Here is a 26,336-nt window from a genome sequence, read left to right as displayed (position 1 = left end):
CAGGTTGAAGTGCAGTGGTGCGATCTTGGCTCACTGCAAACTCCGCCTCCCAGGTTCAAGCGATTCTCCTGCCTCAGCCTCCCAAGTAGCTGGGATTACAGGCATGCACCACCATATAGGGCTAATTTTTGTATTTTTAGTAGAGACAGGGTTTTGCCATGCCAGCCAGGCTGGTCTCAAATTCCTGACCTCAGGTAATCCGCCCGCCTCAGCCTCCCAAAGTGCTGGGATTACAGGCATGAACCACCACGCCCAGCCAAGAAGGCCATCTTGGTTGGGTCAGGGGCTGCCAGCTGTAGGACAGGTTGTAGGAGCAATGCTGGGTGGGGCTGGAGAAGGGTCCCAAGAGGAGCTGGGAGTGCATTGGGAGCATATTGCTCATTCTAAGGAACAATACCAAGGCCTGAGAAGATCTCTGAGAAGCCCAAGAAGATGGCCCGTGGAAAAGGCAGCTTTCAGAAGCCTGACAAAACACACCAACTGGCATTAGCCAATGTGCACCAGAAAGAACTGCAACCAGCAGCAGCTCGGTGAAAAGACCTCTACCCTTTCCCTCACCCTGCATGGGCCCTGGAAGGTCCAGAAGCAGCTGAGCATGAGCAGGAGGAGGCGGGGTGAGGCGGGGAGCAGAACAAACCTCCTTTCCTTCCCCAAGCTGGTCCCTGAGCCACACATAGGTTAGGCATGAGCTGAGTGTAGGGCGGGGGTTGGGCCATCTTTGAAGTGAACACAAGGTGGAAGTTTTGATTTAGGCTGAACTGAATCTTCTCTCTGTATGACCCAGTGACCTATGGGGCCATACGTTAGCCAGAGGAATCTGGTCCATCCGCTAGAAGGAATCATAACCTTCCTTTTATCCACAGCATTTTCATCCACCTGCCTGGGTAGAGTCCACAACTTCACATTTGTTTCCTCTCCCCTCCTGTTCCCACAAATTGGAAAGGGCTTACCTTGTGTTCTGTTCTGAACATCACTGTGTTTTGAGGGCAGGGGACTCCAGATTGAGGAGATCAAGAGAGCCATACCCCATGAAGATTGTTAGAGGACAAGTTAATTCCAAGACATACCCAAGATCCTAACCCAGACAGAGTATTGGGGGCAGGGCTCTGGAGATGAGAAAGGTGAAGGAGGCCGGGAGGTCCTGTCTCAGATGGTGGTTCCCAGTCTGGGATTGGACTCGGCAGGAGGTGACAGCCATGGGCCAGATTGTGGTGTCCTGCCTCCATAAGCAAGGCTGGTCTTGCCCTGTGTCCCTGTGGGTCCTGGCCATATCCAAGGAGGTGTTTAGGCAGCTCCCTGCTGCTGATGGTCCAGCTCTTAGAGACCTCAATCAGAAGTATGTGCTGCTCACAAAGGCCACTCCCGGGCTGGAAGTTCTTCCCTTGGCCTCTGTTTCCTTCTCTGAGGGCACTGATTTGGGGGACCTAGAGGGAGCAGAAGGCTGTCATTGGCTGCCCAGGAATTGGTCCCATGACAGTGTCCTCACCACCTCCCTCCTCAAAGTAAGGGGAATCTGAACTAAAGCCAGCCAGATGTCTGTGGTTCTGGAGGACCCCATATTAGCCTCTAGGCAACAGTGGACGAGTGATGAGGTGGAGGCCTGGGCATATAGAGTGCGTGGCCAATGTGAGACCCAAGTCGTGGTTTCAGTGCAAGCAAGCAGCTCACCGTGGGTGAGGCCCCAGCTCCAGGTCCTGGAGGGTGTCTTTCAGGCCCTGGCCATGCGTCTCTGGCAGCAGGGTGCACAGCAGGCCGGCCACGATGGGGAGGCTGCCGTAGATGAGCATGGGGAGGGCAGCGTGGTACTCTCCCAGCAGGATCACAAGTGGTGTGAGGATGCCCCCGATCCGTGAGAAGATGCCCACCAGCCCCATGCCTGTCTGCCTGGGGGAAGACCAGGGCAAGCTAAGTAGACCTGGGCCCAACTCTGGGCCTCAGCTTCACCCTAGTATATTTCCTCGGGAGAGTCCAGACCTCAAAGGTCTGCAGGGTCTCCAGCCTCACCCAGCCCAGCCAGCGTTCCTGCTCTCTGCTCCTGCCTCCAACCCTGCTCCCTGCCTGCTACACCCCTGCTCGCCTGTCAAGTCTCAGGTCAGAGGCTGCACATCCTTACCACTCTTCCACCCCAAGTGCTCCTTCTCTGTGGCCATTCATTCTTAGATGTGTCCCATATTCCTGTCCTGACCGCCAGGGCATGGCCTACTTGCCTGTCTGTCCTCCACCATTCTGGGGACAACTTGAGGGCTTGGGCTAGATTTCTAGTTGTCCTGGACCCTGCCCAGCACTGCTGCCCCAGAGCCAGCCCTGTCAGCTATTTGTGGAATGGGGTGAGGGCCGAGGAGGGACAGCCAAATCAGCATCTCAGTAGCAGAGGAGCAGGAGTCACACTGCAGCTCTTACCGGAGGATGGTGGGGAAAAGCTCGGCAGAGTACACATAGGAGATGGTAAAGGCAGCAGCTGTGGCCATCTTCCCCACCACAGCCAGCATGGTGACCACCACGGGCAGATCTGGCAGAGGGTAGACAGCCCCATCACCTGGGCCCTGACGCCGGTCCCATCCACTGGAACTCCCCACCCCTTCTGTACCCAAACCCCCGGGAAGCCTTTACTCCTGGAAGCAGAACAATGGCCACTGGTCTAGCCCCTGGCAGCCGGTGGGTGAGGGGGCATGCGGGTGAGGGATAGCCAGCCCTGATACCTGCTGGGATGAAGATGATGATGATACACATCAGGCCACCCAAGACCAAGGTCCCCAACTGGCTCCACTTGCGGCCAAACCTCTGCATCATGAAGATGCTGGAACAGCGGGCAGGCACCTCAACAGCTCCAAAGATGAGCTGCGTCAGATAGACGTCCAGGCCGAAGTCCCCCACTTGGAGGCTCAGGCCGTAGTACCCCAGACTGTCCACAAACCTACAAGGTAATGAAGGGTTCCTGTCACTGCTGGGTGACGAGACACCACCCAGAGGGAGAGCCTGCCTTGGTCAGCAGTCACAGCAGGGGACACTGGCACAACCAGGGAGAGACCATCCCAGCCAAACAGCCACCAGCCCACCCCTCTGCCAACACACACCAGGGAGGCTGCAGCCCTGTGGTTCTGTCCTCGGGTTCTGGGCACTCACCAGACACAGAAGATAATCAGGGTCACCTTCCGGAGCTGGGGGTGTCTGAACAGATCCAGGGCATTCCCTGAGGGGCCTGTCTTCTCTGGGACCAGCTGGGAGGAAGAAGCAGAGTGAGAAGCCAGGCAGGAAGATCCGTGTGGGTCTGATTCTGGGCCTGGGCCTGGGCCTGCTGGAAGTACCTGGTTCATGAGCTCCGGGGAGAGTTTCCGCCTATTGACCGAGGCCGCCTTCTGGATCAGTTGTATCGCCTCGTCCATCCTCCCACGGGTCAGGAGCCAACGTGCAGATTCTGGCAGAGCCCTGTGGGTCAGCAACGGCTATGACCTTGGGGCCTGGAGTCCTAGGGAGCTTTCCAGCTTGTTCCAGTGCAAACTGAACCCCACACCCAGCTGTGACAGGCTCCCTCTCCCAGACTCACCTCTGACTGTCCTATGAACATGGGTGCTGCACTGCAACCCCACCACAACACAACTAACCTGGGGGGGCTTGCTCCTGGCATGTATTTTCCTCACCAGAAGTAGAAGAAGAGCAGTAAGCCAGGCGCAGTGCCGGTGATCTGAAGGAGCCTCCAGTTGCGGAAACCGTAGGCGAGTCCCGCAAGCACCATCTGCCCGAGGGAGAAGTTGCACTGGGCCAGGACCACGGCCTGCGTCCTCCATGAGGGCCCCACCCATTCTGTCACTGTGGCAATGGAGAGGTTGAGACAGGGCTAATCCCTGCCATTCACTCCCCATTACTCCTAGATGCCACCCTGTGGGGGCTGGGCCTCAGTGCCAACACAGGAAGCACCAGTGCGACCACTTCAGATGTGGGGTACCTGAAAAGACCTCCACAGGCCGTTTGGGGCTGTGGCCCTCCCAGGCCCCTGGGCCTCACCCTATGGCTGAAGGCTCCAGGGCCCAGACACTCACGTAGGGTGACATTGCTGAAGCTAAGTCCAGCGACGGCAGTAGCCACAGCAAAGCGCAGGGCCATGTAGAGCTCAAAGCTGGGCACAAAAGCTGTGGCCAGGCCGATGAGGGTGAAGAGGAGCAGCTGCGCCAGGATTGTGGCCTTGCGGCCAATCCTGAGGAAACAGGGCAGGTCTGTGGGGAGGGTCCCTCCCGGAAGGCATCTGAGGAGAAGGCCGCAAGGGGGCCCAGCCCTGTCCTGGGGTCTCTGTCTGAGCCCCATTTGAGGGTAGGGGGAAGAGGGCCTTGCCTAAAGGCCAGTGTAAGGGGCATAAGGGGGACTTGGGCCTGTGCCAGAGCTGACGAGCTTGCTAGGCAGGGAGTGGGCAGGGCAAGGTTCTTACCGGTCGCAGAGGGGCCCAAACATGAGGGTGCCAACAAGGAGCCCAGCCATGAACACTGACTGTGTGGTGTCCTTCAGGTGCTTCCGATCACAAACCAGGTTGAACTGAGGGAGACACAGGCAGATGTGAGTCCAGGGGCTGCAAGGAGGGCAAGCCCTACACCACCTGTCCCACTACAAACCCTTCAGGGCAGGAGCTCATGGTTCCCAAACTGTGTACTGAGGCACTCCAGGGCACCATAGTGAACTCACTGAGCATGGCAGGGCATTTCAGGTTTTAAAGGGAAATACAAGTTGACATCTCTCTGATATCACACAAATTACTAGCTCAGGATAGTTCACGCTTTCAACGTGAGACCACACTACTTTCCTTCCAATGACATCATATCTATGTGAAATCTGACATCAAATCTATAGGAAAGTGCTTTTGGCAGTTGCTGTGAAAGCAAATGCCACAGGAAAATCAATGTGGAAGAGAAAGTGAGGGAGGTAGTGTTTAAGGACTGAGAAGTTGTACAATGCCCAGTAAGTGCATACATCTTATCAGTAAGTTATTGTATTTAAGAATAACATTAAAATATTTTTTCTGTCAACTTATGCATTTATTCCAAAAAATAACTACTAAGTTGTTAGGACATAAACACTTGTTTGAACTTAATGACTTAATACATAGAGCTGTTAGGCATTTCTTTTGGCCTGGAGATGCCATGTAAAATTATTGACACAATAAGGATGCAAATTTTGGAACCCTGTGACAAATCATTAATTGCTGCTTCTTAACAAATGGGGCCGCTTCTCCATAGCCAGGGCACCCCTGGGACACACTTGGGTCTCTCCATGTTTTTCTACCTGGCTGCAAAATCCCCCTGAAGTACCCACCATTCACAGGCAATCAGAATCCTAAGGAGCCCTCACACATGCCCTGAGGAAGGCGATTAGGAGAGAGGAACACACACACACGTACACACGCACACACAGAGGGAGGGAGGGAGAGAATGAGAGAATGTGCAGGTGTGTGACAGAGAAAGAGAGAGACACAGAGAATGCTAATCCACCCAAGACCTATAGAGAGAATCCCACAGCCTGAGAAACCAAGAGGAGAAGATATTTGGGTCCATACCACTCTGTACACACGTCTATTGTATGTGCACTTGACTCACTTGACTGACCCCCACCCCATGGGGTTTGTGGGCCCCTTAGGGAGTCCCGCCATGCCTCTTGAACACAGCCCAGTTCCACACACAAATGTTTGTTGGGGAACCGTCATGTGAGCTCTCCTCCAGCTTCCCAGCAGCAACCACTGAGCACTTACCCTGTGCTGGGTGCTTGCTAAACACTTTACATGCATGATCTCACAGAATTCTAATAATAATCCTTCACTTATTATCAACTTCCCGAGAAAGGAAAGTTTAAGCAGCTAACCCTTGGTCCTACAGCTGGATGGCAGCTGGTAGAGTTGAGACATCTCTCTTGCCCTAGACAGGGAATGAATCTGAGTGAAGGCTAAGAGGATGTCTGCTGAATGAATGAATAAATGAAGACATAAACTAATGCCTACAGCTAGCTAATTAACCAATCACCATCAGTTAAATAACTTTTAGCAAGAAATTAACCAGTCCAGGAGTTACCATTGTGCTCATACTTCTGTTCTTAAGGACAACTGTTAATTTTCAAGAACTTTCAACATGTATCAAGTGATGAACTGATTGCCCCTGGGAATGAAGTAGGGAAGGACAGGGGACTTGAAATTGTTGCTCCAGCCAGTTCTATCCTGTTTGGTTTTTGTCTAGCAGCCACAGATTGCCTTTGTAGTAAGATGGCATTTAAAATAACTAATAATAAAGGCCTACTGTTCCCAGGCTCAGGAGTCAGAATTGAGTGGCTTTGTGTGACCTTGAGCCTGTTAGCCCATCTGTCTGTGTCTTGGTTTCCCACTACAAAATGTGAATAAAATATGCTATATAGTATCACCTGATATAATGAAAGGAACTAACATTTGTAACATGGTTAGCTCAGTGGCTATGTCACACGAAGCTCTCAGCACCTGTTATGTAGGGTGAGGCTGTGCTGGCCTCTGTGCTCACAAAGCTCTCACCTGGTGGCAGACAGCTCAGACACAAGGGGGTGAAGTGCCCTGTGGGCATGAGCACCAAGCCTTGGAGTCTTCTAAGGCTGGCACACCTGGTCAACAGCCACCATTCACTACCTCTCTTCAGTTTATATACCTGCTATGACATTAAATCCTCATTCTAACCCCATAATGGCTTATCATTCCCCTTGTGCAGCAGCAGAGACTGAGGCTTGGAGAGGCGCCGAGATATGCCTGAGCTCTCATGGTGTTGTCATGTTGCAGGTGGTAGAGATGAAGAGGGCTCCAACTTGGGATGCCAGTCATCCTCCCCAGCCCCAACACCCACAGTGGATGGTTCTGTCTGCAGCCTGCCATGGTGGTCTGCAGAATCCCACCCTCATTTCTTGGCGTATACCCCATCCCGGATCCCTCCCCTATTCCAAAACCTTCAACAGCTCCCTTTGGCCTCTAGGAGAAAGCCCAAATTCCTTAGCACTATATCTAAGGCCCTTGAAGAGCTAGCTGTTGCCTATTTCCCAGTCTCTTTTGCCATGTCAGCATTCCTAAATATGCCAGGCATTTTCACGCCTCCAGACCCCAGAAATGGTTGTTCTTTCTGCTTCCCCTTCTCTCCTATTCCTACTTCTTTGGTCGCTGGACAGATCACATGATTGTTGCTATTCATTGATGGTCTTCCCACCTTCCCATTCCAAGGTCCACGTAGACAGGGGAGTCATTTTTTTTTTTTTTTTTTTTTTTTTTTGAGAAAGCGTCTCCCCAGGCTGGAGTGCAGTGGCATGAATACGGCTTACTACTAGCTCAAACGATTGTCCTACTTCAGCCTCTGGAGTAGCTGAGACTATAGGCATGTGCCACCATGCCTGGCTGATTATTTTATTTTTTTGTAGAGATGAGGTCTCACTATATTGCCCAGGCTGGTCTTGAACTCTTGGGCTCAAGTGATCCTCCTGCCTCAGCCTCCCAAAGTGTTGGGATTACAGGCACGAGCCACTGCACCCAGCCCATTTTTTTTCTTTTACCAAGGGTGGACGCCCAGGAAATGTAGGTTGAAAAGGAGAAACATATTCTGACCTTCAAGAGCACACAGCCTATATGGAAATATACTTTTCTCTTTTCAAATTAGTATTGTTTGCATTTAAGTTTAAATATGAAGTCACCATTTATAATAAAGAAGCTTAGGTGTCAGCTCAGAGAGGGTCCTCTGGGTCAATGGGCAGAACCCTTCCTCATAGATGAAAACCAGAGATAGAAGATCACACAAAGCCAGCTGCACTCTGGAACTGAGCTTGGGATTAGCATGTGGTGCAGGGCACAAAGCATTCATTTCCTTGGGAGTCACAGTCTTTGGAAGAGTTGGGGTGAGGAGAGCATGTTAGGGTAGAGTGAGAGGCCCAAGTTCCAACTGCAATGCCAGCACTGTCTAGGAGAGAGGTCCTGAGTGCCGCCATGCCCCAGGGAGAAGCTGAGGTCAACATCAAGTTCGAAATATTTAAAGTAAATACAAAACTATTTCAGCAATGCAGACCATTAAGTGTGCTGTTGTAAGCAATGATGCCATTGGTAAAACATACCGATATCCTACACAACAAACAAATTTACATCTGAAAATGTACCAACTATTTCTAACAACTATGTGGTCATGGTTATGGTTGGTGGAGAGCCATATGCTCTTGGACTTTTTGACACTTCTGGGCAAGAGGGTTATAAAAGATTGCAATTGCTAAGTATCTACAAACAGATGTATTTCTAGTCAGTTTTTCAGTGGTATCTCCGTCCTCATTCAAAAATGTGAAAGAAAAGTGGGTGCCTGTGATAACTCACCGCTATCCAAAGATTCCTTTCTTGCTTGTCGAGACCCAAATTCATCTCAGAGAATGATCCCTCTACTCTTGTAAAACTTGCCAAGAACAAAAAACAGAAGCCTATCACTCCAGACTGGCCTCGGACTGGAAGGCTGTTGAGTATGCAGAGCATTCTGCACTCACAGAGAAGGGCCTAAAGAATGCAGTTAACCGAACTAGAAACACCATTCGACCCAGCCATCCCATTACTGGGTATATACCCAAAGGACTATAAATCATGCTGCTATAAAGACACATGCACAAGTATGTTTACTGCGGCATTATTCACAATAGCAAAGACTTGGAACCAACCCAAATGTCCAAAAATGATAGACTGGATTAAGAAAATGTGGCACATATACACCATGGAATACTATGCAGCCATAAAAAATGAGGAGTTCATGTCCTTTGTAGGGACATGGATGAAATTGGAAATTATCATTCTCAGTAAACTATCGCAAGAACAAAAAACCAAACACCGTATATTCTCACTCATAGGTGGGAATTGAACAATGAGAACACATGGACACAGGAAGGGGAACATCACACTCTGGGGACTGTTGTGGGGTGGGGGGAGGGGGGAGGGGATAGCTGTAGGAGATATACCTAATGCTAAATGACGAGTTAATGGGTGCAGCACACCAGTATGGCACATGTATACAAATGTAACTAACCTGCACATGGTGCACATGTACCCTAAAACTTAAAGTATAATAATAATAAAATAAAATAAAAAAAGAATGCTGTTAACCAAGCCTCCAGAGCCAAAGAAGAGAGAGCCTCAGGCATGTGCTGCTGTGAACATCTCTCCAAAGCCCTTTCAGCTCAGCTTTTGTCGCCATCACACTAAAAGCAAGGTTTAAGTCAAACTAAGAATTAAAAATTAGGCCAGGCGCGGTGGCTCACACCTGTAATCCCAGCACTTTGGGAGGCTGAGGCGGGTGGATCACCTGAGGTCAGGACTTCGAGACCACTCTGGCCAACATGGTGAAACCCCATCTCTACTAAAAATATAAAAATTAGCCGGGCATGGTGGTGCATGCCTGTAGTCCCAGCTACTTGATAGGCTGAGGTCAGAGAATCACTTGAACCCAGGAGGTGGAGGTTGCAGTGAGCCCAGATCTCGCCACTGCACTCCAGCCTGGGTGACAGAGCAAGACCCTGTCTCAAAAAAAAAAAAATTGAAGTTCATTCTCTGCAATAATGACAAATGCCTAATCCTACCAACATATACTCTTGCAAGACAAGGCTCATAGGTATGGTTCCCTTCCCCATCCTAATACTAGTTACTTTTGAATCATTGTTTATTGTCAGAAAAGTGATCAGTACTCGTTTGTTCTGTTGCTTCAAAAAATTTTTTTGTTTGCTTAAAAGCAAGGCATGCTTGTAATGACTCTCTAGTACACTAATGCTAATTGTTAAGCTGCTCCTTGGTTCCCCTCGAGAGTAACATGGGACATCTTAATGCTGTTTTTTTTGTTTGTTTGTTTGTTTGTTTGTTTTGCGGGTGTTTGTGTGTGAGGAGTTTATTTTTTAGTCTTTTAAAAAATTTATTAACCAGTGGACAGTCCTTAAAGGGAGGAGGACAGATTGATTCCACATTCCACTTCCTAGATCTAGTTTAGAAAACACATTCCCCACCTGCCTCATTTCATAACACAGTCCTTTCTGAAAGCTGCCTTTTCTCTCCACCCTTGGGTGTTTGATGAAACTCACTAATGTGGGTGGAGTCTGTCTTGCCCTTCCTCATTTCTTGCCCTATATACGTGACTGTAACTTTTGAGAAAATTTGCTATTTGCTGATTTATTTTTCAAAGTTAATTTCCAACTTCTTTCACTGACAGATGAAGAGAAGTATGCACCTTCTGAAATACACTAAATGGAGTGAGTTCATAATCTGAAAAAAAGTCTTTCCTGTCATTCTCTCATATGCTTAGCATAAATGTGCAGCTTAAGAGTGTGTGACATGGTGTTCCTAGAACGCAGCTGAAGACCCAGCATGTAGAAGAAATGTGAGGGTGATGCTCTGTATAAGATAGATGTCTATGGAATGATAACACCCTCTTTCAAGTTATGGAGGTCTGCTTCATCGAGGAGCTGAGGTTGGAGAAGGGGCGGGGAGAACACTTAAGAACATGGGAACCAGTCAAGGGACTCCCCTTGTTTCTGTTTTGTGTTTGAGGAACCTTCCAACAGCCAATGGAGGCTCTCTAGTTTAACAGATGTCATGAATGAAGACTCTTCCTAAGTGTTAACAGGGATGTTATCGGCTTATTTTGCAGTTCCCAATTGCTAAAAATGTTTAGGTAATTTTTTCCACCTTCCACAAATCCTAATTATTACCTTAGCGTTAACCAATGCTTTCTCACATGATAATTCTTTGTGTATGCATTCTTTTCAGATGTGTCAAACAAACACCAAAGAACAGAGGTCCCAAATCCTTGAAAACATCCATCTAATTCCTATACCCCTACCCCTCCACCCTGACCCCATTGCAGGCACACCCACTGCTCCCCAGACATCCTGCCTGCTTCCTGCTGCCAGGCCTTTCCTGTGCTATTCTTATTCTCCACCTGCAGAGGCCTTCCCCTCTTCTCTAGCAACATTTTTCTAGTATCTTGGTGCCCCAGTTCACACATACCACTTCCTTCAGAAAGTTGCCTGCCCATTCCCCCGGAACCAGGAGGAAGCAAATTCTGGGCCTTAGAACCCGCCCAGCCCTTTATTCCTCTGCAAGGGGCCCAGACCTTTCCTGACCACTAGAGGAACAAAGTACCTTTCCCCTCTGACTTCCCCGCACAGTTAATCCTCAGGGGCCTTTGGCTGAATACGGTTGCATGAACAGTCCAGCATGGGGTGTGAAGAAGGCCTAGAGTAGTCTGTGAGCAATCTGGAAGGTTTTCTGGGCTTTGAGAATGATGATATTTGGCCAGGTGGGCAGAGAGTTTAACACATACAGGCATATCACAACACGTTAGGGCTGGTGAAGGCTGGCACCAGCCATGGATGTGATGCTGGGGAGATGATGGAGAGGACAGTAAGGGTCAGAAGGGGCTAAGCTGGCCAGCCTCAGAGCCTGGGAGCATGCACAGGCTCCCTAGAGCTCCCTGTGGTGTGGGGTGGGGTGGGGTGGGGGAGAGTTGGGAGAAGGACAGGCAGGACATATCCGCAGGCTGCCAGGCTTCTGGGAGCAGTTTTATGGTCACACATTAAAAAGTGAAAGTTAAGCTTTGGTTAACACATTGGTCTCTGACAACCTCTAAAAATAAATACTTTTTCAGCCATGGGGTGGGGAAGAAGTGAATGTTTAATCCCAGATTTTCCACCATAAAGAAGATGAGAATTATACAGATCCCCTCAAGCACCCATGCCCCTCAGGTTTCTGGACTATCTGTGCTGCCTCACACTCCTGTGGGAATCTAGACAGCAGGTATCTGGCATGAGAGCCCCAGCTCCATGATCAGCTCACTGCATTGCCCTGGCTAAGCCATATCCTCATTCTGTGCCTCAACCCCAACATCTGGGAAGCAACAGAGTGGGACTGGATGCTTTCAGAGGGCCCCTCTTGCTCGGAGGTGGCTAGGATGGGAACTTTTCTGCCTGCATCTCTCCTAAAAGAATGAAGTTAGCAAGAATGAACGCTTAGTTATCCACAGGACAAGTCCTAGAGTCCTGGATGTTCTCCAGCGTCCCAAGGGCAGGCTGGCAGAGACCTAGAGAGAAAAGCTGAAAGTTTTGAAGCCCAGCAAGCAGGAAGGCAGTGAAATGGACAGGGAAAGGGATGGCATTAGAGGGTTAGGAAAATAGGAACATAGGCAGACATGCAGGGGTAGACTGAAAGACAAAGAGAACTGGACAGACAGATGAGCACACTGGGTAGAGAGAAAGGCACAAAGATAGGAAAAGAGGAGAGGACACCAACTGGGTAGATAGCCAGAGAGACAAGGAAAGACAGAGACGACAGAAGGATGGGCAAAAAATGGACAGATGGGCAGACAGACTGGACAGAGAAGATGACAGACAGATGGGTCAATAGGCAGAGGACAAAGAGGAAAATGAGATTGACAAAATGAAAAACATATGTGCCCATGGTTGACCATATGGGCATGGGGCAGATACAGAGCCAGTGACTGAGGGCGAAGAGTCAGGCACAAGACCTGACAGACCCACAACCGGTGGAGAGACCAGCAAAAGGACAAGCCTACCTCATTCTTCAGGGATGGGAGCCTGTTCTCAGGATATTCCCAGCCCATATCACAAGGCTGCGTCTCATTGAAGCGGTGGCTGAGGATGTCCTGCAGGCTGGCATTGGCGGGGGGTGGCCGGAACATGAGGCAGGGCTCTGGGTGACCTGCAGTGTCCAGGGGCACGCTCAGTACCAGCTGTTCAGCAGCACTCAGGTTGAAAGTGTGGTTCTTCACCCAAGCCACTGCACAGTGGTGGGGCTCATCTAGGACCATGAAGACATGGGCAAAAAAGTAGAAGGGAGACAGGAAGTTGAGAACACACAGCAGGATCAATAGCTGTATCTGGAAGCGACCAAAGTCACCTATTTCAGCCAGGACCTGGACAAACTGAGCCATGTATGCCAGTCACTACCTCCTCAGCCTGGGGACACTAGGGTAGCTCTGTAGCTTGGCTCTGGGAACTTGCTCCTCTGGGCAGTGGTGATAGCTGCATTAATGTTTAATCCAGCCTTGCCCTGCTCCACCTGTCACTCCTCAGCCCCCTAGGTGTGACTTGGGAAGGGTAGAATATGATGAAAAAATAGTCCACATGGATGAAGTTGGAAACAATCATCCTCAGCAAACTAACACAGGAACAGAAAACCAAACACCGCATGTTCTCACTCATAAGTGGGAGTTGAACAATGAGAACACATGGACACAGGGAGGGGAACATCACATACCAGGGCCTGTCAGGGGGTGGGGGACAAGGGGAGGGAGAGCATTAGGACAAATATCTAATGCATGTGAGGCTTAAAACCTAGATGATGGGTTGATAGGTGCAGCAAACCACCATGGCACATGTATATCTATGTAACAAACCTGCACATTCAGCACATGTATCCCAGAACTTAAAGTAAAATAAAAAAAATAGAAAAATAAATAGTTCACTCCAGCTTATAACATCTGAGGATGTTTTATTAACTGTGTAAAAGATACAGTCATCACAAGAGGAACCAAGAGGACCTTGTCAGGCCCAGCACACAGGAGTGAGCTTAGCCAAATGTTAAGATGGCTTATAGCAACCAGCCAGCCCGCACCACCTCTAATTGCAATATCCTAAACAATTCACACTCAACTCAAATGAGACAGGTAGATGGGTCAACCAATAGGCGAGGTAAAACCACTACAGTAAAACCCTGAGAGTAGTTGCAGCACTCAGAGGGACACAGAATTCCCTTCTAGGGACAGCCCACACTAGGCAGCATGGATAAGCAGGAGAGCAACAAGCACTTAGCCTGCAGATAAACTTTGCCAGCAGCCCAATCTGGCCTCTTGATCCTGATGATTTTTCTCTCCTGTGGGTGTCTGGTATGTGGTGATATGCAATACCTGCCAATCCTAGGAAGCAGCATGCAGGCCAGGAGCCCCACCAAAAGCACAAGTGCACTGTCTTTTCAACATCAAAGACAAACCAAGAATACAGAGCAATGACAGAGCTGCATTTTGAGCTCTACTTTAATCAAGAAGGAAACCATTAACACACTCTAAAGATGAAAACAAATGCACGTACCCCAGCCTCCCTGAGCAATGTCAGTGACAATGAACACAAGACAAAGTATGCCTCCACCACAGCCCACACACACACCAGGTGCATACACATATTCATGTCTGCTTGTGTATGCATAAGAAAGCATTTTCATGTTCTCAATTTTGAACTATTTTAAGGCATGAGCAGAGGAACATTGCTGAAGGGAATGCAAGGAAGCAAGGTTGTGCAGGGCAGCCCTGGCCACCTGACTGGCACAGCTGCTGGAAGCCTGTTAATCAGTCAGCCTGCAGTACAGGTCAAGGCAGGGCAGACAGTGGAGGGCAGAAGCAAGGCCTGACATGCTGCTCAGGGAGCATGCTTTGCTCTTTGCCCCACCCCAACCTCTCCCACCAGGATCACCACTGTCCCCAGCTCTTTTTTCCTTCACTTAGCTTCCTTGAGTGTTCTTATTCTTAGCATTGTCTTTATTGAATTGCCAAGAAAACAACTGCTACCAGTCACCACTGCCTAGTCTGGTATTCCCCTTATGGGGAAGAACTGAGATGGAGACATAAGCCTTGTCCTCTGCCCTCATCATCTCCTCATTCCAGTCAGAAAAGGAATTTTTGCTTTGTTTGGCTCCAAGCAACCAAGAGAGCTAGAGCTAGGAGGTAGGAAACTTGAGCTCTGCCACTGATTCACCCTGAGAATCTGTTCCTGGCTCTGGCCCTCAATTGCCCCATCTAGGTAAAGGATGGTCTCTAAAGATTCTTCTACTTCTTGGTGTACAATTCTAAAATAGAGAAAGACAGAATGATTAGCAGACTCCTGACAAGAGTGAGGCCTGATCAAAGACCTCCCTAGAGTCAGTCTCCAGCTGAACTATGATCCCCAAACCTTGGAACTGAGGCACCGAATGTCACTGGTCTCACATTATCTCTACATTCCCCAAATCCTGATGTTTTGGTTTACTTCTTTCTCCTCTTAACTTTATCCTCCCTTCCTCCCCACCACATCCTGTAAAGACTGCCAAAGGCTCTCTGCAATGCTTCAAGGCCCATGACCAGGTATCCTCTTTGAAGCTGTCTTCATCTTCCTCTTTGTACCTGCCTTCATTCAAGGCCACAACTAAGACCAAAGAGGGGTGTAACAAGAGTTTTCTAACCAGCCGAGCAATTTTTAGTGGAATGAATACACTCTCCATATGGGAAGTATCAGGAAGATCACCGGCAACCATGTCCAGGGAGCGTAGGGAGGTGTCCGTGTGTGGGGTGGAGGGAGAGGGAAGTATTCCTCAAAGATCCCCTGCAGGGATGGACTAGATGGCATCTCAAATCTCTTTCAATTTTGCAATTTAATGATTCTATTAAATAAAAACTTGTGGTAAGACTTCTGGTTTCTGGTCTGGCACATAAGGAGCTTGGAAGTTGCTACTCCTTTTTAACAAGTAAAATTGTTGAACAAACTGAAAAATGAGTAACTTCTTAGATCTGTCAGAGGAGTGAAGTCACAGGGTAATAAAAGACTGCCCCAAAAGTTAGAGACACACAGGTGAATACAGAGAATTACAATTTAGGTCAGGTGCAGTGGCTCATGCTTGTAATCCCAGGACTTTGTGAGGCCGAGTGGGTAAGATCACTTGAGGTCAGGAGCTCGAGACCAGGCTGGCCAACATGGTGAAACCCTGCCTCTACTAAAAATACAAAAATTAGCTGGGCGTGGTGACACATACCTGTAATCCCAGCTATTCAGGAGGCTGAGGTTCAAGAATTGCTTGAACCTGGGAGGCAGAGGTTGCTGTGAGCCAAGATCACACCACTGCACTCCAGCCTGGGCAACAGACCGAGACTTTGTCTCAAAAAAAAAAAAAGAAAAAAAAAGGAGAGAGAGAATTACAATTTACTGGACCAGAAATCCACAAGAAACCTCTGCAGGAACCAGTACCAGGATAAGAAAACCTGAACTTTAACTGACAAATTGCTGGAGACTCAATGTAGATTACTCTGAGAGTTAAGAACTCCAGAGAAAGGCCTCCATATTTCTGTGGCTTTTACTTCCAAGAGCTCTACTGGGTTCACACAGTGAATATCAAAGAAAAATTCTCTTATGCTTCCAGCAGGGAGAGGCAAGTAACCATTTGAAATAAGCCAGAGTGTTCTGTTTTTTTTTTTTTTGAGATGGAGTCTCGCACTGTCTCCCGGACTGGAGTGCAATGGCACAATCTCGGCTCACTGCAACCTCCGCCCCCACCGGATTCAAGCAATTCTCCTGCCTCAGCCTCTCGAGTAGCTGGGATTACAGGTGCCCGCCACCATGCCCGGCTAATTTTTTGTATTTTTAGTAGAGATGGGGTTTCACTATGTTGGCCAGGCTGGTCTTGTCCTGACCTTGTGATCCACCCACCCCGGCTGCCCAAAGTGCTAGGATTACAGGCATGAGCCACTGTGCCCAGCCCAGAGTATTCTGTTCTTAACAAGGCTTGCCCTATATCAGACCCTATCCTACCTGGGGGAAGAGAAAGACCCAACTCAAGCCTGCTCTAGCCATCCTGTCCCACTTAATAGAGGGTAGGAGACTGAGAAGCACTTGTAACGTTCACAATGCAGAGACACAGGCTCACTAAAAGACCGAGACCTAATTGCAGGACCATAGACTGCTTTCCCTCTCCCCATACTTTACCACATCATTAAAGACCTATTTACTTGGAATTCCCTTTACCCAGTACACATCATGTCCAGCTTTCAACAAAAGATTACAAGGCATACTAAAAGGCAAAAACACAGTTTGAAGAGACACAGCAGAGATCAGAACCAGACTTAAATCTAGCAGTGTTTTTGGAGCAGTGTTTTGCCCTGTGACTTCACGTCTTTGACAGATCTAAGAAGAGTTATTCATGTTGGAATTACCAGACTGGGAATTTAAAGCAACTATGATTAAAATGCTCTTAGGAAAAACTCAATTTTTCCTCTGCTCTCACACCAACATGATAATTAAAAACAAAGACTTCTGTGACCCCCAAATATGTGGGAATTTCTCCCCACCAGCTGGCAACCAATCAATTCTGTAGCCAACACCAGCTGGGTTTCTTCCAATTCAATTCCAACACTATGTACTTGGAGATAGCACCAGACCCCACAAGTTGAAGGCTAGGTCTCCAAGACTGGCGTTCCCACTTTCAGACACCAGTCGCAAGTCTGGGCCTCTGGAACTTCTGACAGACCCGCCTTAAGTTGGGGTTCCCCTGACACCTCTTTAGGTTAATTTGCTAGAGCAGCTCACAGAACTCAAGGAAATGCTTATGTTTACCAATTTATTATAAACAATATTTAAAAGGATAGAAATAAACAACTAGATGAAGAGATACATAGGGTGAGGTCTGAAAGAGTCCCAAGCACAGGAACTTCTGTCCTTGTGGAATTGGGGTGCACCACCCTCCCAGCATGTAGACTTTTTTTTAAGACAGGGTCTTGCTGTATTGCCCAGGCTGGAGTGCAGTACACAATCATAGTTCATTGCAGCTTCAGATTCCTGGGCTCCAGTGATCCTCCCACCTCTGCTTCCTGAGGTCGCTGGGATTACAAGTGTGTGCTACTGCACCTAGCTTCCAGCACATGGATGAATTCTTGTTCACCTTCCTTGTTACCCTCCATGTGTTCAGCTCCCTAGAAGCCCCCAGTCCTGTCCTCTTGGGCTTTTTTGTGGAGACTTCATTCGATAGGCATGATATGAATAGAAGCATGGACAACCATGTCAAAACGTGATTGTACAAAAAGGGTATGATCTAAACCCAGCAAGGCCTGTCCAGATTCTTTCTGACCATTCTGTGTAGCATTCCTTCTTCCAGTATATAGGGCAGGTCCCCCTCTGGAATGAGGACCTTTTATGACCCACAATCAGATTAGAGTCCTGCCTTGGGCAGAGGAAAGGAGGCTGGAGAAGGTAAGAAAGAGAGATTCTGTTTACTGTAACTAGGGTTTATGGGAGTTATGAGCCAGGAACCATGGACAAAACATACACACACACACACACACACACACATCCCACAGATGCTAAAGGCTCTAATGGAAAGTAGACAGCATACAAGAACAGATGGGCAGTGTAAGCGAGAGATTAACCTTCTAAGAACCGAATAGAAATGCTAGGGATCAAAAACACTGCAACAGAAATGAAGAATGCCTTTGATGGGCCTACTGGTAGACTGGACATGCCTGAGGAAAGAATCTCTGAGCTTGAGGATATCACATAAAAACAGCCAAAACTGAAAAGCAAGAAGAAAAAAGACTGAAAGGCGAAAAACAGAGAATAACCAAGAACTACAGAAAAACTACGAAAGGTATAACATGTGCAATGGGAATTCTAGGAGAAGAAAGAAAAAGGAACAAATGAAATATTTGAAATAATAATGATTGAGGATTTCCCCAAATTAATGTTGGTCACCAAACCACAGACCCAGGAAGCTTAGAGAACACCAAGTAGAATAAATGCTAAAAAAACTACACGTAGGCATCTCATTTTCAAACTACAGAAAATAAAAGATAAAGAAAAATCCTGAAAAAGCCAGAAGGAAAAAACACATCTTACTGTAGAGGAGTAAAGATAAGAATTACATCTTTGGGAGGCTGAGGCAGGCAGATCACGAGATCAGGAGATCGAGACCATTCTGACTAACATGGTAAAACCCTGTCTCTACTAAACATACAAAAAATTAGCCGGGCATGGTGGCACGTGCCTGTAGTCCCAGCTACTCGGGAGGCTGAGGCAGAATTGCTTGAACCTGGGAGGCAGAGGTTGCAGTGAGCCGAGATCGTGCCACTGCACTCCAGCCTGGCAACAGAGTGAGACTCTGCCTCAAAAAAAAAAAAAAAAGAATTACATCAGCTTCTCCTCAGAAACCACATAAGCAAGAAGAAAGTGGAGTGAAATATTTAAAGTGCTCAGAGAAAAAAGCCCCACCAACTTAGAATCCTGTATCCTGTGTAATTATCCCCCCAAAGCGGTAGAGAAATAGAGACTTTCTCAGGGAAACAAAAACTGGGGTAATTTGTTACAAGTAGACCTGCTTTGCAAGAAATGTTAAAAGAAGATCTTCAGTGAGTAGGAAAATTACATAGGTCAGAAACTCAGAAGTACATAAAGAAATGAAGAGTATTAGAGAAGAAATAAGTGAAGGTAAAAAAAAATGTTTATTTTACTTAAACATAATTGACCTAAAAGATAACATTTTCTTCAAAATAGCAGCAAATTAGATTATCTTTGCTTGTATATATATATATATATATATATATATATATATATATATATATATGCTTATGTGTAACTGAAATGAATGACAGCAATAACATAAACGATGAGAGGGAGGAAACAGGATTATTTTGTATTGGTACTACCTGTGAAACAGTATAGTGTTATTTGAAAAGAGACTTAAATTAGTTAGAAATATACATTGCAAACTCTAGTCAACTACTAAACAAAGATAAAAAAGAAGTATAATTAGTATGCTAAGAAAAGGGAGAAAATAAAATCATATAAAATTCTCGATTAAAACTACAAAAGGCAGAAAAAGAGTAGAAGACAAAAATAAGTTTGAGGAACAAGGGCAACAAATAGAAAACTATAATAAGTGTTAGTCCAACTGTATCAATAGTTGATCACTTTACATGCCATCGGTATTAAAAACATCAACAAAAAGGCAGAGGTAGTCAGTGTGGATCAAAAAACCCAAGACCCAAAACTATATGTTTTCAACAAGAAACATAGACACATATAGATTAAAAGTAAAGAAATGGAGAAAAATATACCATGCAACACTAATCAAAAGATAGTAGGAGTAGCTCAGACCAAGTAAAGTTACCAGGGATAAAGAGGGACATTACTTAATGGAGTCAATTTTCCAAGAAGATGTAACAATCCTCAATGTGTATGTACCTAAAAACAGAGCATCAAAACATGTCAGGCAAAAACTGATAGAAGTAGAAGGAGAAACAGATGAGTCCACTATTACAGTGGACATCCACATGCAAAAAAACTGACTCTACAAACAATCTTACACCCTTCACAAAAATTAACTCAAAATGAATCACAGACCCAAACAGAAAATGCAAAACTATAAAATCCTTAGAAGATAACAGGAGAAAACCTTGATGACCTCGGGCATAGTAATGACTTTTTAGTTACAACACCAAAGATGTGCTCCATGAAAGAAAAATTGGTAAGCTGGACTTTATTACAATTAAATGCATCTGCTCTGTGAAAGACACTGTTAAGAGAACAAGAAGATAAGCCACAGACTGGGAGAAAATATTTGCAAAAGGCATATCTGATAAAAGACTGTTAACAAAACTATACAAAGAACTGTTAAAACTCAATAAGAAAAATAACCTGATTTTAAAATAAGCAAAAGTCCATTAACTATAAATGCCCCTTTAACCTTCCATCCTCACATATAATTAAAGAAACCAACACCAGGATATCATTTCTCCCCAACAGTTCATCAAAAATTAACAAGTATAATATATTCTGTTGGCAAGTCATGCTTACATAAGTAAATAATTGAACTCACACATAGTGAGGGAAAAGGGAAAGCTCCTCCTCACAGTAGAATTCCAATTAATAAATGTAGAAGAAATGATGGAAACAGAAAATCTTCATTTAGTCAGAATCTGGGACAGTTAATTTAAAACAAAAAAGAAAAAAATTATTTAGCAAATATCACAGTTATAATTGTTAGGTAAGAATCATCAAAGAATGCTAACATTTTTAAGCAAAGTATGATGAGTAACAAGATTTATATAATCTCAAACTACCTCCTCACAAAACATTAATTAATTATAAGAGGAAAAATGTAACTTTACAGTAGAGAAATCTAGCAGACACACCTTAACCAAGTGATTAGTTAACATAACCACTAATGAGATGTTTACATGGTGTGCTTCCTGATGATGAATTGCAAAGAGCCTGACATCAATTCAGTGGTTTTCTTTCTCTAAATGCATAGCCTGAATTTAATCATGAGACATCAGATAAATCCAAATTGAGTCATTCTGCAAAACAACTACCCGTCATTTTTCAAAAGTGTGAAGGCCATGAGAACAAAGACACACAAGGAGCTATCCCAGACTGAAAAAGTCTAAGGAATTATAACAATTAAATACAATGTGAGATCCTGAATTGAATCGTCGGACCAGAAAAAGAGTAGTAGTGGGGCAATTGACAACTTTTGCATAACGTCTGTAGACTAGTCAATAATATATCAATGTTAATTTCCTGATTTTGATAATTGTAAGTAGTTATGTAAGATGTTAACATTTGGGGAAGTTGGGAGATGGGTATAGGGGAATTCTTTGTATTGTTTTTGTAATTTTTTTTGTAAGTCTGAGATTATTTCAAAATAAAAAGTTAAAATTAGGGGGGAAGTGGAGAGGGCAAAGGACCTGAGCACACACCTCACCAAAGAAGATATGCAGATAGCAAATAAGGATATGAAAAGATGCAAATGTCATTAGGAAGTTGCAAATTAAAAAGAGGTATCACTACACACCTATTAGAATGGCCAAATCCAAAATACCAATAACACCACCAAATGCTGTTAAAGATGTGGAGTAACAGGAACTCTCATCCACTGCTGGTGGGAATACAAAATGGTACAGCCACAAGTTTTGGTAGTTTCTTACAAAACATAGCCTTACCCATGATCCAGTAATCATGCTCCTTGGAGTTTATCCAAATAAGCTGTTGCTGTTTTCAACTGTCTACACAAATATCTGCCCTCAGATGTTTACTGCAGCTTTATTCATAATTGCCAAAATTTGGAAACAATCAAGGTGTCCTTCAGTGGGTAAATGAATAAACTGAGGTACAGACAATGGAGTATTATTCTATGTTGAAAAGAAATGTGCTATCAAGCTATGAAAAATCATTGAGGAAACTGAAACGCATATTACTAAGTAAAAGAGGAAAATCTGAAAAGGCTACATACTGTTTGATTCTAACTATATGACACTTTGGAAAAGGCAAAAGACAGTAAAAAGATCAGTGGTTCTCACAGACTAGTGGGGGTGGGAGGGAGGAACAGGTAGCACAGAAGTTTAAAGCAGTGAAACTATTCTGTATGATACTGTAATGGTGGATATATGTCACTATATATTTGTCAAAACCCATAGAACATACAACACCAAGAGTGAACCCTAATGTAAACTATGGACTTTGGGTGATAATAGTGTGTCAATGTACACTCAATTGTATCAAATGTACTACTCTAGTGGGGGATGTTGACAGTAGTGGAGGCTGTTTGTGGGTGGAGTTAGGAGGTGTGTGGGAACTCTGTAATTTCTACTCAATTTTATTGTGAAACTAAAACTGCTCTAAAAATTAAAGTCCATTAAAGAAAAAAAAAAAAACCTTGGGGTAGATGACCTGACCCAAAGGGGGAATCCCTGAATGGATGCACTGAGTATTGCTGCCAAACAAATAAAGCTAAGGAACCAAGCCTAGTGATACAACCTGATCTTGTCAGAAAGAATGGGCAAGTGGAAGCTCAATTTGCCCTTGACCCCTTCCCTTCCCTCCAGATATACCATGGTCACTTATGAGTAACAAGCACCTCCTTCCTATCCCCACAATAGTTTGATTCCACTTTTATAACTTGCTTATCTTGAAAGCAAACTCAACTAGCTGTAGGCCAAACAGTATTGTCAACTCCAAGGCTCCACAGCCCTGAGCTCTGAAATACCAGGACCCACAAGCAGTGTTATCATGGATCAAAAGCCACTGCTGTTGGGAAGGGCAGATGATGAGGGAAGATTCCTCCTGCAGTGGGAGGATAACAGGAATACAAAGGAGCCTAGAATCTTACATGTAACTTCACCATTGCAATATCAAAGCCAAGAAGAGATAAGTTCAGCCCTGTTCTGAACTTTCGAAAGAGACTCCCAAGGGCTTGAATCTGGCATCCTTCCTTGCCCAACAGCATAAGCAAAACCAAAGATTTAAAAAAGATCAAAAGATAATAAAAGGAGTTCCATATCCCATCCTATCCAATTCCTTGGGCTGATCTCATCCCTCCCTTTTAGGGTTGCAGTTTCCCCAACTATATAATGGCTTTAATGGTTCTAGATAATTTGTAGATCAACAGACACACTTTACAGTTTATATGTACTTTGGCTTCTATTCGCATGAACAATTAAAGTTGGTGGTGATTCCTTGACCCACAACCCACAGCTCTCCGCCAACGGCCACTAAAATAAAGCGTCCATACACCACTAAGGACAATTTACTCTTTATTGATTAAAAATGAAGAAAACATGCAGTAAAATACAAAGTCCAAAAAAAGGAGGAAAAAGTTGAATATTTTACATCTTCCATAACCTAGCATACATCATAAGGAGGAATCTCCACTTATTGGTACATCATTATTCTCTCCTCCAGATTATTAAATATTATCAGCTGGCTCTAGGATTTGGTTCAAAACTTAAGCAAAAACCCAACAAATCCTTTAGTCGTTTAGAAAGACCAAACATTTCACAAATAGCATTGGCACATATTACTTTGTGCTATAGTTAGTCCCTACTCCAGGGACAAGGGGATCCTGGGACCTAGTCAAAGAGGTGCACTCTGAATCAGCATTCCTAGAAAGGAGTACAGTCACTCACTAGGTTACGTGCTGTTCCACCTGGGCAGTTTCTGTTCATGTATTTTCTCAGTATCACTGCACAAGCCAGCAAAGGGAGTCTACCACACATCATGCAGAAGAAGTAACACTGTCCTGGGACATGGTGTCTGTCTTCTAATTCCTAGCAGGGCAAACAATGAACTGAAAAGAAGGAGAAACCCCAGCCCAATTCTATTTGCCATGACTGCCCCACTGCAGTTCACAGGTAATGATGGGCTAGAGAAAGTGAACAGGGGATGGGCTGCTGCTCACTCCCAGCTAGGCACCAGACCATCTCCACAAAGAATGCTAGAACAGAGTGATGCTGCCACCCCTTGGATTCATAAATAAGTAGATTTTGATGGGTTTGAAAAAAAAAAAACAAAACTCTAAGGTAAGCGGTAAGCCACTAGTCTTGTGCCAAAGAAGATGCTATCTCTTTTCTATACCTCATTCCTACCTCCCCATCCTTGTTCCTCTCCGTCCCCCCTCCACAAAAAAAGAAAAAGAAAAGCTAAGTATTTTTCTAGCAAGCTGGTCAATCTTCTTTTCTCCCTCCTGGCTCAGCAGGCTCCCTCCTTTTACCAAGACTGCTGGGACGTTGAACTCCGGTGTCTGATCATCTCACCTACTCTCCTCCTAACTCCCAACTGAAATCCATCTCCTCTCTTCCTCCCCAACATCCATCTCTTTCCCAACATGCCTTTGCACCTAGAGCAGGTGAAGAAAGCCCATGACTAAAACTAAAGACTCAGAATGAAACAAAAGGTGTGACAAGTTATTTGTGGGGAAGGTTTTCAGATATGTTCCAAGAGAAAATAAGGTAAAACAACCTTGTTCATCAGACCAACAGTGCTGGAAAGGGCTCGAGTGATTCTGTAAAGGGCAACTCTCCCCCTTTCCAGGGACCCACAGCCCATCTTTGTGTATCTTTTTAAGGCCAGATTGAGTATCCCACTCATATATAAAACTCGGTAGGGTTACTAGCAGTTAGACAAAGACTATGAAACGGTAGGAAAAAAGAAAAATCAACCTCACTGATTATTCACATATTGCATTATGAGTGCTCTTTTTTAAACCTAAAGAATAATTTATATTATTTCTGTAGAAAATCAAATGAACACTGTCTACTCATAAAACCTAAAGGTCACGGCACATGTGGTTTCACTTTCCATCTTGAGTTAGCTTCAGCACACAGAGACCCCCTCCAAAGGGTCAGTGCAGGAGAGCAGGCAGAAGGCAGGCCTCTCTGGCCCAGTGTGTGTCTCCTTTATTGCTGTAGAAATCTCAGCCTTGCATACCCATTTCCTCACGACTTGGAGGCCAGGCGAACTGATTTTCATGGGAGGATTGAGTTTTTCTTCAATTTGATATTTGAAAATAAATACTTCTCCAATGATATGAATTATGATTTTCCTGTTCAAAAACCACCTCTGGCAAAATTCACATTTACAAGCCATTACTCGATGTTGTCTGTAAAAACAATCCAAAGTTCCACTTTGAAGGATCTGATGGCTGAAGTTCGGCTACAGTCAGATGTTTTGCACCAGCTGAAGTTAAGGCTAGCAACCCTTTCTGGAGAGAGCAATGAAGAAGGGGGTGCCTGAGAGCAGCTTCAGCAAAACGCTTAGAAACACCATGAACAAAACAAGAACACAGTTTAGGCTGCCTCCATCTGAGGCTGTGCTTTTTCCTAACAAAGGTTGCTAGAATTCACATCAGGTACAAAGAAAAAACATTAAATTAAATTCTCTGGGCTCCAGCTGAACAATCAATTCTACTTCAGTGGTAAAGAGATATCCCAAGATGTCCATATCCTGGCAGGTGTGGGGGAACAGGCAGGATGAGGAAGCCCGATACAGCTGCTACTTTTCCACCTGGGCCATCATTGGAGTAAGGCAAGAATGAGCTGACAGATCTCCCTCCTGGGCCTTGAAGCACATGGGCCACTTCTCAGATGGAGGAAGACAGGGGACATATGAAGTAAGTTTACTAACGGAACTCTGGGGATGCTGGCCACTAGTGATCCAACTTTTCTTTCCCTGTGGGAAAAGGAGGAATGATGGCAGGAAGAACATAAAGACTTCTAAAGCTCCTAGCCGGGAGGTTTGTTGCTGGGTTCTTTGGCAGTAGTGGGTTTAGGCCAATAGAAGCAACAGAGATACGCATGTGTGGAATCTCCTTAGGCCGCCTCTTCCAGGGTTGTGGTTTAGCTGATGCTGAGCTGGGCAAATCCTATCAGTTTACCATCATCAGGAATATCTGAGCCTTCGACACCAGATGCCTAAGAACCAAACAAAATGAGAAACTGTGATTATTTATAAACAAACTTGCAGGTAGCAAATAAAACAGACATGGGATAGTGGGAAGGTAGGCAGTGGGCAACAGGTCCCTAGGATACAAATAGGAGACTGACGAAGGTGTTTATTCCAGAAAAGAGGGGGGCTGGGTAAACAGCTAGAGTCAGACTGGCTAATAGTTTCTCTTATGAATAGCCAAGGGTCTCTGGGGTCAGAGGTTTCCTGGCATGGACAGAGGAAGAGTGGCCACTCAAAGGGAAACATCAGCCCAGGGCACTGGGGAGGCTAAATGAACACAATCCACCACATTTTAATATTCTCATCACTCAGGGGATATAGAA

The 26,336-nt window shown here is 45.6% G+C and overlaps 2 protein-coding genes and 1 pseudogene across 8 annotated transcripts in view, besides 2 other annotated features; 1 reads left to right on the top strand and 2 right to left on the bottom strand.

The window, feature by feature from the left end:
* Positions 1-38: 38 nt before the first annotated feature.
* Positions 39-12,984, bottom strand: SLC22A13 (solute carrier family 22 member 13). Its single transcript, NM_004256.4, has 10 exons — positions 12,558-12,984; positions 4,421-4,524; positions 4,038-4,192; positions 3,639-3,807; positions 3,306-3,426; positions 3,124-3,218; positions 2,700-2,914; positions 2,401-2,509; positions 1,669-1,884; positions 39-1,424 (listed from the first exon to the last, which is right to left on the bottom strand). The coding sequence occupies exons 1-10, from the start codon at positions 12,933-12,935 to the stop codon at positions 1,331-1,333; spliced, it is 1,656 nt and encodes a 551-aa protein (NP_004247.2). The 5' UTR covers positions 12,936-12,984; the 3' UTR covers positions 39-1,330.
* Positions 3,264-3,558: an enhancer, noted in NCBI's record as "tiled region #5010; K562 Activating DNase matched - State 8:EnhW". NCBI's record gives its function as "activates a minimal TATA promoter and a strong SV40 promoter by Sharpr-MPRA in K562 cells {active_cell/tissue: K562}" and the evidence as "EXISTENCE:reporter gene assay evidence [ECO:0000049][PMID:27701403]".
* CDC42P7 (CDC42 pseudogene 7) lies at positions 7,915-10,774 on the top strand (annotated as a pseudogene).
* Positions 13,704-13,998: a silencer, noted in NCBI's record as "tiled region #12810; K562 Repressive DNase matched - State 8:EnhW". NCBI's record gives its function as "represses a minimal TATA promoter and a strong SV40 promoter by Sharpr-MPRA in K562 cells {active_cell/tissue: K562}" and the evidence as "EXISTENCE:reporter gene assay evidence [ECO:0000049][PMID:27701403]".
* The window catches only part of OXSR1 (oxidative stress responsive kinase 1), a 91,422-nt gene continuing 88,397 nt past the window's right edge, over positions 23,312-26,336 (bottom strand). For all 7 annotated transcript variants that reach the window (XM_011534331.3, XM_017007601.2, NM_005109.3 and 4 more), the window contains one exon: positions 23,312-25,979. In XM_011534331.3, coding sequence (XP_011532633.1) covers positions 25,905-25,979 — 75 coding nt within the window. In that variant the 3' untranslated portion in view covers positions 23,312-25,904. The remainder of the gene's footprint in view (positions 25,980-26,336) is intronic.

The sequence above is a fragment of the Homo sapiens genome, chromosome 3 (genome assembly GCF_000001405.40).
Source record: "Homo sapiens chromosome 3, GRCh38.p14 Primary Assembly".
Lineage (NCBI taxonomy): Eukaryota > Metazoa > Chordata > Mammalia > Primates > Hominidae > Homo > Homo sapiens.
Note: the sequence above shows the minus strand (reverse complement) of the source record. Positions and strands in the feature narration are given on the sequence as shown.

What these genes read in the sequence shown, in the direction of transcription:
- SLC22A13 (NM_004256.4), bottom strand. Translation starts at nt 12,935, where the DNA reads ATGGCTCAGTTTGTCCAGGTCCTGGCTGAAATAGGTGACTTTGGTCGC. An exon ending in TCCCATCCCTGAAGAATGAG is followed by an intron (nt 4,525 to 12,557) that starts GTAGGCTTGTCC and finishes TGTCTCCCTCAG; the next exon opens with TTCAACCTGGTTTGTGATCG. An exon ending in CTGCTCTTCTTCTACTTCTG is followed by an intron (nt 3,427 to 3,638) that starts GTGAGGAAAATA and finishes GCTGACCCACAG; the next exon opens with GGCTCTGCCAGAATCTGCAC.